The sequence below is a fragment of the Homo sapiens genome, chromosome 6, assembly GCF_000001405.40.
Source record: "Homo sapiens chromosome 6, GRCh38.p14 Primary Assembly".
NCBI lineage: Eukaryota > Metazoa > Chordata > Mammalia > Primates > Hominidae > Homo > Homo sapiens.
In genome coordinates, this window is record NC_000006.12 from 48,552,188 (window position 1) to 48,570,955 (window position 18,768).

Here is an 18,768-nt window from a genome sequence, read left to right on the forward strand (position 1 = left end):
AATACACACACACACACACAGACACACACACACCCACACTAGCACTTTCTATGTAGTTTTCTTTGAATTAGTAATCATAAAATTAAAAAATCACATTTTTACCTATAGCTCTCAATCCTAATTTTCCACATAACCCTTGCTTTTGTTTTAAAAAAGGCCAATATGGTATGAATGGCTTTAGTTTTTTTCCTAAAATTTTATTCTGACAAATTTGTACCAGGTAAGTACTTCTTCCTTCCTTCCCTCCCTTCCTCCCTTCTTTGCTTTCTTCCTTGTTTCCCTCCTTCATCCCTTTATCTCTCCCTCTCTTTCTCTTACACCCTTCTAAAAAGTATTCATTATTTGTGATCTAGAGAGACATCAATGAATTATAAGGAGCAAGACCCTTCCAGCTATTACCCTCTGATAAAAGCTCTTTGAGAGAAAATCAGAAATATGATAGAAACTTATATGGATGGAATTGAAGAGAGTCCCAGAAGAGGAGAGCTTTTAGCAGAGTATGAACTGATGTTCAAAATAAAACAGAATGCTTTCCTCATCTGGGCTAAATGAAAAGGGTTCTAGGAGCATCCTGTTTCTACGCTTAGGAAGATCTGTGTCTCCCTTTCTATATAAATAATGGCTGATCTGCACAATCTCAGTTCTTCTGTATTCTGTCAGTGGAACTAGGGGCCTATGTGTTTATAGCTCATAGAGATTCAAAGTCAGGAATTGACAAGGGTAACAAAATAGCAGGGTAAAAACAGAGGGAATAACAGACAATCTGCAATTACTAACTGGCAAAAAAAAAAAAAATGGTATGAGCATTCTGTGGATCAATTCTATGCTACAGAAAGTAACTGGACTTATATTGCTTTGACGTGCTCAAGAAGGCAGCCTGCCTGGGCTATAAACCCCACCTGTGAAAGGCTGATGGGGTGAATCAAAGTTCAAATGCTGAGGAAGATTATAGAAGATTAACCAAAGAGTACGTCATTGGTGAATAATATAGTACATGTGTTCATGATAAGGTACTAAAGAACCAAGAAGTGAATCCCTCAAAAACACAGCCAGCATGTGGAAGCCTTAGAAAAAGAACTTTAAGGAACAAGATCAAACTTCATCACTTTTCATCTGATTCCCTCTCCTTTTTTTCTGCTCTATCACTCCCTCCAATAAAATTGGAATTTCACAGATTTCTTTCCTAACTTTTAAAGAACTAACAACAGGAGGGTTGTGGAGAAATCAAAGGGCAAGGACAAATGGAATAAAAGAATACATACATCCCACAAGTGTCCTCTGCATATTTCAAGGCATAAATTGGTAGGATTGAAGTGTGGAATTGGATGTAAAATTGAAGTTTTGATGTAAATTTGAGATTATAATGAGACCCAAAGTAATTGTATTAGTCAGAGTTATCTAAAGGGACAGGACTAATAGGATATATGTAGATGTGAAGGGAGCTTATTAGGAGAATTGACTCATATGATCACAAGGTGAAGTCCGCAATAGGCTGTCTGCAAGTTGAGGAGCAGGAAGCCAGTGGTGGATCAGTCCAAATCCCAAAACCTCAAAAGTAGGGAAGCCAATAGTGCAGCTTTCAGTTTGTGGTGAAAGGCCTGAGAGCCCCTGGCAAACCATTGGTGTAAGTCCAAGAGTCCAAAAGGTGAAGAACTTGGAGTCTGATATTTAAGTGCAGGAAGCATCCACCATGGGGGAAAGACAAAGGCTGGAAGACTCAGCAAGTCAAGTCCTTAAACTGTTCTTTTGCCTTCTTTATTCCAGCCATGCTGGCAGCTTATTAGAGGTTGTCCACCCAGACTGAGGGTGGGTCTGCCTCTCCCAGTACACTGACTCAAATGTTAATCTCTTTTGGCAACACCCTCACAGACACACCCAGGAACAATACTTTGCATCCTTCTATCCAACCAAATTGACACTCAATAGTAACAATCACAGTAATCTAACCAGAAAGCTATGAAATATGCTTAAGATATTTTCCAGTGGTAGGGAAAGAGATTCCATGGTTCATTTTCAAGCAGTGAAAAGAAAGAAAAAGTTGGTTCCTATAGTAGTTCATGAATTTTAATACCCTCAAGAATCCAATTACACAGTACAATCTACTGATTAAAACATGAGATTAATCAATCTCAGTATACTTTCCTAGAGTCCCAAATTTAAGAAGAGTTATATGGATACATATATGGAACATGTAGAATTTAACTGGATTCTGAAATTCAAAGAATAAACAGATTAGGCACCTTTGATTATAGAATAGAAATATAATGAATTGGCCAGACATGGTGGTTCATGCCTGTAATCCCAGCACTTTGAGATGCCAAGGAGGGTGGATCTCCTGAGGTCAGGAGTTTGAGACCAGCCTGGCCAACATGGTGAAAACCTGTCTCTACTAAAAAAGAAATACAAACATTAGCCAGGCATGGTGGCAGGTGCCTAAAATCCCAGTTACTTGGGAAGCTGAGGCAGTAGAATTGCTTGAAACCAGGAGGCAGAGGTTGCAGTGATCTGAGATCATGCCATTGTGCTCCAGCCTGGACAACAGAGCGAGACTCTGTCTCAAAAAAAAAAAAAAAAAAGAAATATAATGAATTTATTCATGTTAGGGTGCATATATTGTAATACTGAAATTGATCAAGGGAATCCCATTGAAGATTGCATCTGCAGTAGCATCACAGTTTCACCCTGGGACATTTAGCTATAGACAAACTTTGGTATATAAAAGAAAAAAAGTTTTTAGTATAGCTACACAACAAAGAGAAAAATTACTGGATTTAAAAATTGAAATATTTTTTGCTATTGCATTGTATGAGTTCCTTATATATTTTGGATATTAACTTATCGATGTATGGTTTGCCAATATTTTCTCCCATTCCTTCTCATTTGGTTGATAGTTTCCTTTACTATGCACAAACTTTTTAGTTTTATGTAGTCTCTCTTGTTTATTTTTATTTCTATTGCCTCTGGTTTTGGTATCAGATCCAAAATTTCATTGACAAAGCCAGTTTCAAAGAACTTGTTCCTTATGCTTTATTCTAAGTGTTTTACAGTGTCCATTCTTACATTTAAGTCTTTAATTAACTTCAAGTTAAGTTTTGTGTGAGGTGCAAGATAAAGGTCCAGTTTCATTCTTTTGTATGTTGATACCCAGTTTTTCCTGCACCATTTTATTTTTGGCACTCTTGTCAAACATTAGTTTACTATTGATTTGTGGACATATTTGTGGACTCTCTATTCTGCTCCATTTGTTTATGTGTCTGTTTTCATGCCAGTACTGTTTTGATTACTATTACTTTGTAATATAGTTTGAAATCAGGAAGTATGATGTTTCCTGCTTTGTTCTTTTGCTCAAGATTGTTTTGGCTATTTTTTAGTTACATATGAATTTTCTATTTCTGTGAAAAATGGCATTAAAATTTTGCTAGGAGTAGCATTAAATATGTAGATTGCTTTGGGTAGTATAGACATTGTAGCAACATTAATCCTTCTAATGAACATGGAATATCTTTCCATTTATTGTGTCTTGTTAAATTTCTTTCATCAATGTCTTTTAGTTTTCAGTGTACAGATCTTTCACACCCTCAGTTACATTTATGCTTAAGTATTTTATCCTTTTTGATGTTATTGTGGATGAGATTGTTTTAATTTTTTCATAGTTTATTGTTAATGTTAATTGAAATTGATTTAAAAATTTTAGCCTCTAAGTCAGGAAGTGGGAAGTGGTAAAAACCCAACACCAGAGAAATACTTTCTTTAGAAATAATAGGTCCAGATCAGGTGATATTTTCTCGTGTTAGATACCTGGTTAGAATTCTACCTCTAACTAACTGTGTGACTGTGAGCAAGTTATTAAATCTCCCTGTGTTCAGTTCCCCCTTCCTGATGTGGTATGTGATGATAGTATCAACTTCAACTACCAACTCTCATTGCTGGACAGGGTAAATGAATGTAATAAAAGTTCTTATTATGGTGATTGCAACAAGAAAGCACTCAGTAAATGATAGCTATTGTTATTCCTATTATATCTTTTGACTTATAGGATGATTTTGACCTGTGTCTTTGTATTTTGCTGCATTTATGGTTGAATAAGAATCCATTTATTATTATTACCCTATATTCTCCCCCCTTCCTCCCTGACACATACACATTAGAGATAGACAGATAAATTAGATAGATAGATAGATAGATACATACATACATATATGATAGATAGATAGATAGATGATCATTCTCTTTGATATAAAAGTAGGATAATTTAATACTACTCTAGTATCAAGTATAGCTTCAGGCATCTAGTCAAATTGAATTTGGAAGTCTTAGAGCATTTACAGTGTCACAGCACAGGCAATTTTGAGAACTGAGTGTTACAGGTTTGACTTTCATTATAGGCTCATTTTTCAGGTAAGTTACAGAAAAGTCACATTTTGTAGCTGGAAAGAGCATTAAGGCTTACTGGTGAGTTTCAAATCTCTTAAGACATATGGTAAGAAAATTATATGAACTCTCACCAAGTGTTTGAAATACATATTTGTTTACAAATTACTGTTTATTGTTCAGCTCTAAGTAACAAAATTCAGTCTCTAGCAGTAAAAATTCAGGTACTAAATTTTAAATGTCATGTACAAAATCAGATGAAACCCCGTATCTATAAATAAATAGATATACAGACAGATAAATACAAGCTTTGTCTAAAGTGATCTTCCTATATTTCCCATCAGTTTAAAAATGGTTGAACATTTAAGTATATGATACACAGTTATATTGGTGGAATAGTATCTGTAATTAATTATTGTAAAATATTATACATGTATACAAAAGTAATAGCAATTTATAAAAATATTATATATTTTCAATATTATTTTAGCTAAAATTCAATATTGTTTTAATTAAATTTAAACTTACATTGTATTTTTGCAGTTTTGAAACATCATTTTATTAGTTTTTTCTTACTTTTAAATGAAGTTTTTATTTTAGAATTTATTTAGTTTTCCAGAGAAGTGGGATAATAGAGGTACCATATATTCCACACTGAGTATCCCCTGTGAACAAATGAGCCCATATTGATACATTATTATTAACTAAAGTCCATACTTTATTCACATTCCCTTAGTTTTTATGAATGTCCTTTTTCTGTGCCAGAATCTTATTCAAGAAATCACATTAGATATAATTGTTCAGTCTCCTTGAGCTCCTTGTAGCTGTGATAGTTTCTCAAATTTCCTTTGATTTTGATGACTTTGACACCTTGGAGGAGCACTACTCAGATATTTTGGAGAATGTCCCTCAGTTGGGATTCATCTGTTTTTTTTAATCTCATGCATACACTGTGCCTATGGGTTTTGGAAAGATATACACAGGAGTAAAGTGCCATTTTCATTACATTCTATCAACTACATACTATCAACATCATTTATGCTTGTTGATGTTGGCCTTGATCACCTTGTTGAGTTAAAGTTTTTCAAATTCCTCCACTGTCATATTACTCTTTTTTTCCCTTTCTACATGCAACTCTTTTGGAAGGAATTTGCTGTGTGATCCCACAATAAGGAGAGAGAAGTTATGTTCCACCTCCTTAAGGACAAGTAACTACACAATTTATTTGGAATCTTTCTCCATGAGATCTATTAATATTTTAGATTAAACTGTAGCCATAACTCTCAAGCAAATCTGTGAAACATTGTGTCTATAGTGCAGACTGGTTGTGGTGCTTGGTTTTGGCCATATTCTGCCCTGTAGCCAAGGGCTAACACACCCCAATCCTTTCTGTCCATTCTTCAGCAGCTTTCATGATGGTTTCTATGGGGAAGTGGAGAGATGGGCTCTCCTGAACATGATTACACACAGGGTGATGTAAGTCATTCTCTCAACATCAGGCTATCCTCTAAATAGATCTGCAGCAAGTAGTTTACTCTGATTCATTAACTTCATATCCTGAGATTGTCTCAAAATCATCTCCTTTAATTCACCTAGAGACTCCTAACTAGGTCAATTAAGTTTTCACTTAAGTCTAACCTAAGTCTCATGTGCTGTAATTCAAGCTATTTTTTCTTTTGCTTTCATGTTCAGATTAAATTTCTTGAAAATTACTGGGTGTATCAGTCAGAGTTCTCCAGAAAAACATAACCAATAGGATGTGTGTGTGTGTGAGTGTGTGTGTGTATACAGAGAGCGATTTATTTTAATAAGGAATTGCCTCACATGATTGTGGAGGTTGGCAAATCCCAGGATCTGCAGGTAAGTTCGAAAGCTGGACTCCCAAGAGAGCTGATGATGCAGTTCCAGTTGAGCCCAAAGATCTGAGAAACAGCAGGGCCTATATAGTTCCAGGCTCAAGGCCAGCAGGCTTGAGACCCAAGAATAGCTAATGTTTCAGCTCAAGTTCAAAAGCTGGGGAAAGCCAATATCCCAGTTCAAAGGCAACCAAGCAGAAGCAATCCTCCCTCACTGAGGAGACAGTCAGCCTTTTTGTCCTGTTTAGGCCTTCCAATGATTGAATGAGGCCCACCCACATTCAGGAGGGCAAATCTACCAATTTAAATGGTAATCTAATTCAAAACCACCCTCACTGAAACACTCAGAATAATGTTTGAGCTATGATAATATCTGGGAACCCATGGCTCAGTCAAGTTGACAAACAAAATTAGTCATCATAGTAGGGTAGAGTATTAAAATATTAAGATCCTCAGAGAGAACATATGTACTTTACAAATATATTACAACCTTAGTTATCTTAGATTTCAACATTGGCTTTTGAGAAACGGGTGATTTTCTTTCACAGCAAAGAGCTGCAATATAGGTGATAGAATTTATTTAAAAAAAGAAAAATATAGATTATTATTTTTATACCAAACCTGGAATCATGGATACTACTCCTCAATGACAAAAATAAGATAAATTGACCAAAAACAAAACAAAATAAGCAAAGGGTAAGAAAGGGAAAGAAAAATATTATGGTGTTGATAATAAGAAAACAAAGACATCTAAAATGAGTCACAAATAAAATAATTTTCCACATTTTATTTATTAATCAGGTCAATAAATACATGCCAAGTACTCTCCTCAATGCTTGAGAGACAGCACTAAACAAAGTACAAGAAAAATCCCTCTTGAAGCATAAATTTTTACAAGGAGAGATAAGCAATAAATAATAAAATTTACTGTTATAATCATTAATATCATTGTTAATTATTATGTAATAATCAACAATACATGTATTGATTATCAATTATATAATTATCAATACATAATATAATAATATAATTGTATATGATATAATAATACGTATTACTAACAATATATCTAGTTTATTGTTAACAATGAATATTATTAATAATATTGTTAATAATTTATTAATATTATTGATAATAGTGAATAATATTATTCTAACTAGAATATTATATTTAGAAAATATTACTAACATACACAACTTTCAATATTATCTTAACTAAATGTAAAATTATGTTGTATTTTTGCAGTTTTAAAATACCATTTTATCAGGTTGTTTCTTACTTTTTAATGTTTTTATTTTAGAATATATTTAAATTTCCAGAAAAGTAGTATAATAGAGTTCCCATATACTCCATACTCAGTATCCCCTGTGAACTGGTGCACCAATAGTCACTTTCTAACTAGTCATCTTCTAACTAGAAGGTGACTTGAGGGCCCCCCACTTCCTCCTGCTTTCTTTGTCCTGAGAAACACGGAGTGCCTTGACAGCTCTGTGAACCAGCCAGCTGCATGGTTTCCATGCAGGCTTAAACTCAAGCTAGGCCCTTGAACTCAAGCTAGGCCCAGGCACTAATTAAGGTGTTTAGGTTGTTACTGAAAACAGTGAGAGATTATTCCTCTTGCTAAATGCATAGAAACTAGCCCTAGCCCTGAACCTCCTTAGACCCTCATATTAATAAACTCCATAAGCCAAATCTCCTTCCCAACTGGTGGAAGACATATCCAGGTCAAACATCTGTTCTGTTGCTGTCTGTCACCAGAAAGCTTCAGCCCTCTGTATATAAGTTCCTCTCCTAAATAGTTAGGATTGATCACTCTGGCATTTACTGCTTCTGTCTTTGGAATTGCAACCAGTGCCCACTCAGGAGAGTTTGAAGTACCCCCTGCAGAAACTCCCCTGCTGCCACTTTTGTGGTCACTCCAGCCACAGGGGATAAATTGGATGGAATAGTGACAAGTACCTGGAAAAAAATAAAAGTAGGGCAGGGGAAAAAGTACCATGGACATTGGTGTTGAGGAGAACAATTTTACATATGAGGTGAAATTCAGTCTCCTTGAGAAGGTGGTATTTAGGTAAAGTCTCAAAGGCAGTGAAAGAGGTAGCCATGTGCATGTATTGGAAGATTATCTAGGCACAGGGCAGTCAGAGCAAAGCAGAGAACATGACTCACATGTTTGAGGAAATGCCAGAGCGGCTGGAGTGGAATGAAGAATGACAGAGTTGTAGGAAGAGGCCAGAGAGGTAGTGATGGTGTTAGATGTGCAGGAGACAAGATCGTATGGATCAATCTGTCCAATAATGGCTTTGCAGGCCATTATTAGGATTGTCCCTTCAATCAAATGTCATTCACACTCAAACTTCGGTGTTTAGTTGACAGTTTGGAGTTTTGCTTACCTGAGCTGGTGTTTCGGAACAAGTGATAAAGCAGTTATTACTCTATGTTTGATTTGAGGCTAAACATCATAATGTATCCTGTGGATACAATTGTCATACAAAAACGTATATATGAAAAAAAAAATCACCATCTATTGGAGAAGGAAGAAAGAATAATGGGATTCTAGAGTTCACAGTGAAGACATGGAAAGCAGTAAGTTGCTCACCCCACATCCTTGTACATAACTGCTACCCATGACTGCACTTTTGCAATGTGGAAAACAAAGTTAGATGCAGAAATCCAATCTGAGTTTTAAGGATACATTTCCACTTCTTAAATAACTTTTCTGTAACTTTATCTTTAACATTTAGGGTTTCTTTTGTGAAGAATCACATAGATGCTTAGGAAAAACATCTATGACAATATGCTGATAATCAAACTGTAAATCAAAAGTAGCTACCATATAATCATATATTTTCTTTTTCTTTTTTTTTTTTTTATTTTTACTTTTGAGATGGAATCTCTCTCTGTCCCCCAGGCTACAGTTCAGTGGCGCAACCTTGGCTCACTGCAACCGCTGCCTCCTGGGTTCAAGCAATTCCCCTGCCTCAGCCTGCCAAGTAGCTGGGACCACAGGCATGCAACACCATACCCCACTAATTTTTGTATTTTTAGTAGAGACGGGGTTTTGTCATGTTGGCCAGGCTGGTCTTGAACTCCTGACCTCAGGTGATCTGTTCGCCTTGGCCTCCCAAAGTGCTAGAATTACAGGCGTGAGCCACCACACCCTGCCATAATCATATGTTTTCTAAATAATAATATAATATCACCAGGTATTTTCCAATATATAAAGTACTTTATATTCACATCTTCATACAAACCTTAATTAACAAATATTATTATTTATGGTTGAGAAAAAGTGAAGTGAAAAACAACTATCATTATGCCCCTTTTACAATTATACGTTATATATTTTTTACCTCCATGATGAGTATTAATCTTTATCTTTCTTGTGCAAGAGTGTTATACTTTGTTGAAATACATTTCAAAAGGAACATAAAAAAGAGTGTATGTCGCTTACTATATGTAGTTTTTCCACATACAATATATTCATTTTTTTCTTAAAGTGATATTAGAAAATAAGTATTATAATTTCTAGTTTATACATGATAAGAATGATTTGTGTAAGCTCTATTCTTTGATAAATATTACCAAGCTAGTAAGAGTCAGAGTCAAACTATGACCCAAGATTCTCTTACTCTAAAGCTAATTCAGAACATATTTAAAGCGGTTCTGCATTTTAGAGAATAAAGAGAGATATCAGAGCCAACAAGGACTCTGATAATTTATTTAATATCTTTGGATTTTTGTGAGTCCTCTCTCCCAGATGTAAAGTGAGCTTTTGTTCTATAATCAATCTATAATTCTGCATTTAGAATTATATTTCATGAAAATACAAAGTTCACTATAAAGCATATCTTTTTCTCAAAATGTATAAGAATAAAACAATCTTTACCTCTTGTCCTATGTAACCAGTTCTACCATACAATTTATAGGAGACAGTTTTAGCATAAGGAATGAAGGCTTGACTATTACTGGGACATAAGGCTTAATCCTTTGTAAAATTAAAAAAAAATTCCATTGACGTGTTCTACCAAAAATTCTACTCAGTACTTTCCAGTGTCATCATTACCACTTGTGAGTATTTTGTACTCATCACTCAATCTTTTATTTGACTTAGCATCTAAGAGAGCACTCAAGGGTTGGGCTAAAAGTAGACACAAAGTAGGCTACTTACTGCAGAGATGAAAAAAGTATGAATTTGGGCCAAATTGGATGCACTAACGGGAATACTTTTCACTCTCTGAAAACCAATACTTTTTTTTTTAACAAATGAATACTTACAGTAGCTTTGCTGATGGTAAGGAACATCAATTTTGAACCTCCAATAAATAAAATGTTAATTCAAAAAATGGATTCCATTTTCCTTATTAGTAAACCTATATTACAAAAAAAGTTTTATTTTTATTTTTATTATTTGAATTTCACCAATAAAAATCTTAGGGAAATCTGTTCTCTCATTTGTTATATTACTACCCATACAATATTTTCAAAACTATTATCTGACCCCTCACAGAAAAAAGTTTCCTAACTGATGGGGTACTGAATTTTGATCCTCACTTGAAAACTGGGGATTCTAAAAGAAGTGTTTATTATCATGAAGTGACATCAAGAGTCCATTGAGTTTAAAAATGGTCCTATGTTGAATCGTAGTACAAATAACACAAACTTTTATCAGCATTTAAAAGGCAAGAAATAAGAAATGTTCAGATTACAAATATTTACAATTTTTTTTGTACTTGATTATGTCATTGCAAAAATGCTTCTCTGGCTGGACGATGTGGCTCACACCTGTAATCCCAGGTTTTGGGAGGAGTGAGAGGACTGAGATGATTGCTTGAAGCCAGAAGTTTGAGACCAGCCTGGGGACCAAAACAAGACTCCATCTCTAAAAAAACAATAATAATAATTAATAAATAAAAACAAATACTTTTTCCCTAGTTTGATTTGCATCAACATTAAAAGAAAACTCCAGGCAGGTAAACCATTCTTATTAATAAATTAAGAATCCCTGGCACAGTTCATTATGATAGTGATCATTCAGCTGTACAGAATTGGCACTCAGAGCGTAACATAGTTTAAATGTTTGTCCTCTCCAAATCTCATGTTAAAATGTGACCAGCACATTTGAAGGTGGGCCTAATGGAAGGTGTTTGTGTCACAAGGGCAGATTCCTCATAAATGGTTTTGTGCTGACTTCATGTTAATGAGTGAGTTCTCAGTGCATGGATTCATGTGAGATCTAGTTATTTAAAAGGGCCTGGCATCTTCTCCCTCTCACTTTTGTTCTCTCTCTAGACATGTGATATGCTGACTTCCCCTTAGACTTTTGTCATGAGTAAAATCTTCCAAGCCTTCACTGAAAGCAGATGCTGGCACTATGCTTCATGTCCAGCCTGAAAAACCATGAGCCAAATAAACCTATTTTCTTTATAATTTTTTTTTCTTTATATACTCACATTCTCAGGTATTCCTTTATAGCAACTCAAACAGACTGACACAGAAAATTGGTTCAGAGAGTGGGGTGTTGCTATAAAAATACATGAAAATGTGGAAGCAGCTTTAGAACTGGGTAAGAGAGATTTAAAAATTTTAGAGGGCTCAACAAAAAATACAAAAAGACAAGAAAAAGTTTGGAACTTCTTAGAGAAGTTGTTAAATGGTTGGGACCAAAGTACTAACAAAAATATAGTTAGTGAAGGCATGGCTGACAAATTCTCAGGTGGAAATAAAAAATGTATTGGAAACTGGAGCAAAGGTCACCCTTGTTACAGCCTAGCAAAGGCTGCATTGTGTCCATGTCCTGAGGGTTTGTAGAAGGCATAACTTGTGATTAGTGACTTAGGGTATCTGGCAGAAGAAATTTCTAAGCAACACAGCATTCAAGATGTGGCAAGGCTGCTTCTAACAACCTAAGTCACATATGGGAACAAATAAATGACATAGAATTAAAACATATTTAAAAGAGAAGCAGAGCATAAAAGCTTGAAAAATTTACAGCCTGGCTGTGTGCAAAAAAAAAAAAAAAAGCACTTTCAGGAAAAAAAATCCAAGTGGGCTCTAAAGCATCCACTTGCTAGAGAGATTAGCATGACTAAAAGGGAGCTAAGGGCTAATATTCAAGGCACTGGGAAAAAGGCCTCAAAGGCATTTCAAAAATCTCTATGACAGGCCCCACTTCATAGCTCCAGAGGTCGAGAAAGAAAGAATGGTTTCAGGGGCCAAGCCCAAGGTCCTGCTGCCCTGTGTAGCCTTGGGACACTGCTTTCCGCATCCTGTCTGCTCCAGCTCCAGCCTTGGCTCAAAGGTCCCCACATATAGCTTGGGCTGCTGCTCAGAAGGGCACAAGCTGTAGGCTTTGGCAGCTTACATATCATGTTAATTCTGAAGGCGTGCAATATATGAGAGTAAAAGAGTCGTGGCAACTTCCCCCTAGATTTCAAAGAAAGTACTGGCAGGCTTGGGTGCCTAGGCAGAAGTCTGCCACAAGGGTAAAACCCACACAGAGAGACCCTACTAGGGCAGTGCTGAAGGGAAATAAAGGGTTTGAACCCCCATACAGAGTTCCCATCAGGGCCCTACCTTGTGGAACTGTGGGAATGAGGCTACCACCCTCTAGACCCAAGAAAGATAGAGCCATCCCCAGCTCATACATTGAGCCTGGAAAAGCTACAGGCACTCAACTCCAACCTGTGAAAGCAGCCATGGGCTCTTCATCCTGCAAAGCCACAGGAGCAAAGCGGCTCAAGACCTTGGGATCCCACCGCTTGCATCAGTGTGCTCATGTTACGAGGAAAAGAGTCAAAGAATATTATTTTCTTGCCTGCCCTGATGGGTCTCAGACTTGCGTGAGGCATATTGCCTGTTCTTTTAGCCAGTTTATCCCTTTTAAGATAGAAATGTTTACCCAACACCTGTACCACCATTGTATCTTAGAAGTAAGTTATTTTAAATTTAACAGGTTCATAGGTTAAAACAAAACAAAAGCCAACAAACAGAAACAAAATGTGTCTTAAGTCTCAAATAAGACCAGACTTTGGACTTTTAATTAAGTTAATGGTAAAACAACTTATGACTTTTGGAGACTATTGAAAAGGGCTAATTTTACTTTATAATATAAGAAGGACATAGATTTAGGGGGCCAGGAGTAGAATGATGTAGTTTAAATATTTGTCCTCTCCAAATCTCATCTTAAAATATGACCTCCAAAGTTGGAGGTTTGTCTAGTGGAAGGTATTGGGGTCATGAGGGCAGGTCCCTCTTAAATGGCTTGGTGCTGTTCTCATGTTAATAAGTGATTCTCACTTCAAGAGTTCACATAGGATCTTATTGTTTAAAAGAGTCTAGAACCTCCTGCCTCTCTCTTAGTCTCTCTGTCTCTCCCTCTTGCCATGTGACATGCCAACTCCCTCTTTGCCTTCCACCATGAGCAAAAGCTCCCTGAGGCCTTCACCAAAAGCAGACACCAGCACTATGCTTCCCATATAGCCTGAAAACTGTGAGCCAAATAAACCTCTTTTCTTCATAAATTACTCAGTCTCTGGTATTCCTTTATAGCAACACAAACAGACTAACACAGATCACCTGCTCTATGTGGACAATTTAGTTAAAATCAGTTCTCTTATAGTAGATAGTGCTCAAACCTGACCACTTGTGCTCACTAGACATCATGCCTGGAGCAGAGCTATTATGTGGTGGGAAGTCACAGTCAGGAAGAAACTGTGAGAACAAACTTCCTGAGCTCCTAGGCTGTGGCCTGAAACTATTAAACAAAGAACAACTTGTCTATCAATGCTGCCATTTTGTTCTATACTAGAACATTTTCACTAAAGGGCTCTAAGAGCAAGAGTTAAAGAAAAATAATTATATAGAAACAACATTGAGGCCTTCTGGGTGAGTAGCTCTTTGCTTTTTAATTTTCCTAAGTACTAAAAGGCAATGATGTAGAAATTGCTAATTAGTAGCAATTCTCAATAGAAAAATATTATAAAAGGAGACTTTCTAGTTCAGGCACAGTGTCTCACGCCTGTAATCCCAGCACTTTGGGAGGCCGAGGCGGGCAGATCACCTGAGGTCAGGAGTTCAAGACTAGCCCGGCTAACATGGCAAAACTCCATCTCTACTAAAAATACAAAAACTAGCCGGTCGTGGTGGCAGGCACCTGTAACCACAGCTACTTGGGAGGCTGAGGTAGGAGAATCACTTGAACCTGAAAGATGGTGGTTGCAGTGAGCTGAGATGACGCCATTGCACTTAAAAAATAAAAAATAAAAATAAAAGACTTTCTAACAACAGATCCCTTAATAGAGCTGGACTAGTGTAATCTTTCAATTTGAAAGATATTCAGGCTAATCAGATAATATGTTACCCTGAAAAGACGTATTTCAAAGTCCTGTATTTGTTTTATAGAGTAGGCTGCATTTTTCTTAAAGGGCAGAAACTACCTAGAGTAAAATTATCACCATTGCTGGCATCCACATATCACTTTCCAGCTGACAAGATACTCTATACTCATTTTCTCATCTGAGTCACAGCATCTCCCAGTCAAGGCAGGTAGGATCCCTATTTTACAATTGAATTAACAGAGTCTGTGATTTTCTTAAAGTTACATTGTTTATAGAAGAATAAGCTCAAAAGCAGATCTCAAGTATGTAGGCTCTTTGTCTTACTTTCTTTCTAAACTATTATTCTAACAATCCTCTGATTCTCAGGAGGGAACATTCCAACTCCATTTGACTCAGAGTCATTCATTTCTCTCTCACACCTCTTCTTTGTTCATGTCTTAGCTAAAACACTTTACAGAGAGCCACAAACATGAATATCTTGCCAAAGATAGTAATCTAGTATAATATCTCTTCTGTGGTCAGAATTGGTCATATATGCCAGGATAATAGAGAGCCATGAACATGTTAATCCTTGACTATGGAATGTGTGGTATGTTTAAGTTTTTGTTTGTTTCTTTCTTTTTACTCTTTTCTTTTTGTTTCACAACTGGCATGCCTGTGCATACACAATTTGGGGACAATAACATACTGTGCTAGGAGAATAATCTGTTTCAGAATCACGTGTTGATTATGTGAAATGTACAGTTTCTTGAACAATATCTCAGAACTGTGGAAAAAAAATCTTTCCATGTGGTATTCAGAAATGTGGATTTTAAACAAATTCTCCAAGAGATTCTTATGGAATTTGCAGTTAAAGAATATTGGGAGAGTTAATCTGGCACAAATATTGAATATTCATACCCATTTTTGCTGGGCATAACAAGAATGCAAGACACAGATAATTCTTTTCTCAGCCATTTCTGATGGTTGTACTTGCAGTGAGCATCCTTAAGGGATGAGATATCTTCATACATACAAAGAGCAGGTTCCTATGGAAGCAGTGATACTTAAAGTTTACAGTTTTTTGCAATGCAAACTCACTGCATGCATAGTTTCCAGAATGCCCCCTCTGCATTACTCTGCAGGACTTGATGGCATACTTGCTGTGCTTTAAGTGATAAAATCTTTTCTCTCTGATCCTAGAGTCTGTTGTCATCTATCAGCATCCATGAAGCTGTAATTATCTAATTTCTTAGCTTGTAAGAAGCGTAAAATTCCAATTTCTGATAGAAACCCCTGCATCAGTCAGATGTAAGTGAGTAATGTAGCCAAACTTCATGCCTAACAGAACAGGTAACTAAAATTCAGACAAAGCCGGGTGCAGTGGCTCACACCAGTAATCCCAGCACTTTGGAAGGCCGACGTGGGTGGATCACCTGAGGTCAGGAGTTCGAGATCAGCCTCAACATGGAGAAACCCCGTCTCTACTAAAAATATAAAATTAGCTGGGCGTAGTGGTGCATGCCTGCAATCCCAGCTACTTGGAGGCTGAGGCAGGAGAATTACTTGAACCTGGGAGGAGGGGGTTGTGGTGAGCCGAGATCGCGCCATTGCACTCCAGTCTGGGCAACAAGAGTGAAACTCTGTCTCAAAAATAAATAAATAAATAAATACAATTCAGACAAAATCTTCAAAGGTTTTGTATCAGAAACATGCAGAAACCTATCTGCAGGAGGCATTTGGCTTTTTGCTCCAACCCCCTACTACAGTCTCATTTTATAATATTCAAAGATAGAAAGCATAACTGTATTTAACCAGCTATTCTCTATTCCTGCTAGAAACCCAGAGGCCGAAAAAAAGCCAAAAGTTTTATTGAAACACATGCACGCACACACACACACACACACACACACGCAGAGAGAGATCGTAAATATTACAATAACAACTGAAAAGCAAGTAAATCTTAGAGATGGATAAATGAACTTTGATGATACATTTTTGGAAATAACCGACTGATCAGCAGGAAGAAAAGAGGACTCAGATAGTCTCATTGTCCACAGTGATAAACTAGTACCAGATCACCAAGGAGCACATGAATCTTTGTCCCTGTTATTAGGGCAAGAGAATTGAAAGCAGACCTTCAAAGCAGGCTCAAGTGTAAAGGGAAAGTGAAATTCCAGTCCGAAATGAGGGGCAGGAGCTAAGGTAGGAAAATCATGATATCATGGGAATTGGGAATGAAAATAAATTTAAGGAGGAAAACAATACAGGCAGCAGTGCCCAGGAAGTACTAGCCTTTAACTGATGGGTCAGACAGGAACTGTGCAGTGGAGCTCCTCCCAGCTCTTGCTGGGCGAATTGTTTCTTCAGCTTATCTGATGATAGGGCTGAGGTTAGAGTCATGATCTGCCTCTGTCTAAAGATGGTGAAAGGACAAAGTTTTCAGAGTCACCAGGAGCTGCAGGAGGTAGAGAAAAAGTCACTAATGGAAGGACCAAAGTAAGAGGTGAAAACCCTAATTGAATATTACTATCTCCTAAATGTTTACGATTTTTCTGCAAACATTCGTTTCAGTTTCCAGATAGAACTGAACCAGCAAAGACAGGAGTTCATTAGAATGTGTGGAGAACTGACCGGATGAGTTTTCTTTGCCGCCTCAATTTATATCCTATACCAGCCAATCACTGAGTCTACTACTAGAATTTTGGGACAGACAGATGTTTCCTTTTTATTTTAGTCACATATTAGAAAGTGAAGGCCTATGACAAATCTCATATGCCATTATCTTTTTTTTTTTCTTTTTTTGAGACGGAGTCTCGCTCTGCCGCCCAGGCAGGAGTGCAGTGACGCCATCTCAGCTCACTGCAAGCTCCGCCTCCCGGATTCACGCCTTTCTCCTGCGCAGCCTTCATTATCATTGACACTGAAAAATAAAAAGTTTAACTTTTAAGAGCCCTTCACCTTATTTTTAAAGAAAAAGCAACATAGGATATTCTCACTTTTTTCTTTTTAAAATATTTTCTACTTGCTCAAAAAGGGTACCACATAAGCACAAGTTAGAATAACATCTTTTATTTACGTTAAAGATAGATGGCAAACTTTGTTTTTGAACTGACTGTTTTCCTTATTATGCACCTCCAGAATAACGTGTTCCAGCAGTTTTATTTTTAAATGTCAGTTTTTCGTATACTTCACCTAACTAGAACCCTGATGCAGACAGAAAATGTAGAGAGAGCCACTAGGGAGGATCATCAGTCATGAAGATTAGAATTAAAGCAAACAACAGATAATTTTCTCCACTTGTTTTCTACTAGCAAACAGACCTCGTTTTTAGTGGAGCAAGAAAATAAGATTAGGATATGCCAGTCATGGGACTATTGACACACCATGAAAAGGTACGGGAATTTTAATTACTCAAGCACATGTCAAGTCTGAGATTTCAAAAAAGGCCTTTAAATAATTAAAGCAGTGGTAAAACTGCCAAAAAGTTTTATATGGGCTAAATTTAAAATATTTTATCACTGTTAAGAAAATCCTTCTCCTTATATTGTAAGGTAAGCATGGGTGTACTGGAAACACCACACTCAGAACCATTTACTCTGAGGAAAAAAGGATGAACTATGATCACTTGTGAGGTTGCTGAAAGAAACTAGACAATCTGAATTTAATTACAACGCATCTCTGTGCAATTGACTATTTAATATGTGCAATGGACAGTAGAAGAGGAATTGAGAATATGATCTCTGTCCTTGTGTGACCTTTAACTTCAGAAGACATTGATGATAAACAGGAAATCATCATTATTTTAAGGTAAGGTAATCTATATCCCTTGCTGAGTAAGCTATACTGGTAATAGCTTACAGAAGACACTGACTATTTTAAGTTGTGAAAGTTAGAGGCTGCTACTTAATGTTAGAGGGGCTGGGGCAGAACTCTGAGGTATTTTGAATATGTAGGAAGAAAATATTGGGAAACAGTATATGCAAAGGCATATTGATGGGAATAAGTGTGCAGACACAACGAACAACCAGACCAAATAATAACTGTCATATAAGGTTGTATTATGGCATGGCAGGAAATGAGGCTGACTAGAAATGAGAAACATGAAAATGAGAGGAGGTTTCTTTAATGCAGTCAAGACATGTGGCTCTAAGTTTGAAGGCAGGAAGTAGAGATATAGGAAGCATACTATAGAAATATAGTATAGACCTCTGAATTAACAG

At 36.6% G+C, this 18,768-nt stretch overlaps 1 long non-coding RNA gene across 5 annotated transcripts in view, besides 1 other annotated feature; it reads left to right on the forward strand.

The window, feature by feature from the left end:
• The window catches only part of LOC107986602 (uncharacterized), a 74,122-nt gene that overhangs the window by 27,754 nt on the left and 27,600 nt on the right, over positions 1-18,768 (forward strand). The gene's annotated exons all lie outside the window — the stretch shown is intronic.
• Positions 16,813-17,013: a silencer, noted in NCBI's record as "peak5834 fragment used in MPRA reporter construct". NCBI's record gives its function as "represses an SCP1 promoter by STARR-seq MPRAs in K562 erythroleukemia cells {active_cell/tissue: K562}" and the evidence as "EXISTENCE:reporter gene assay evidence [ECO:0000049][PMID:32103011]".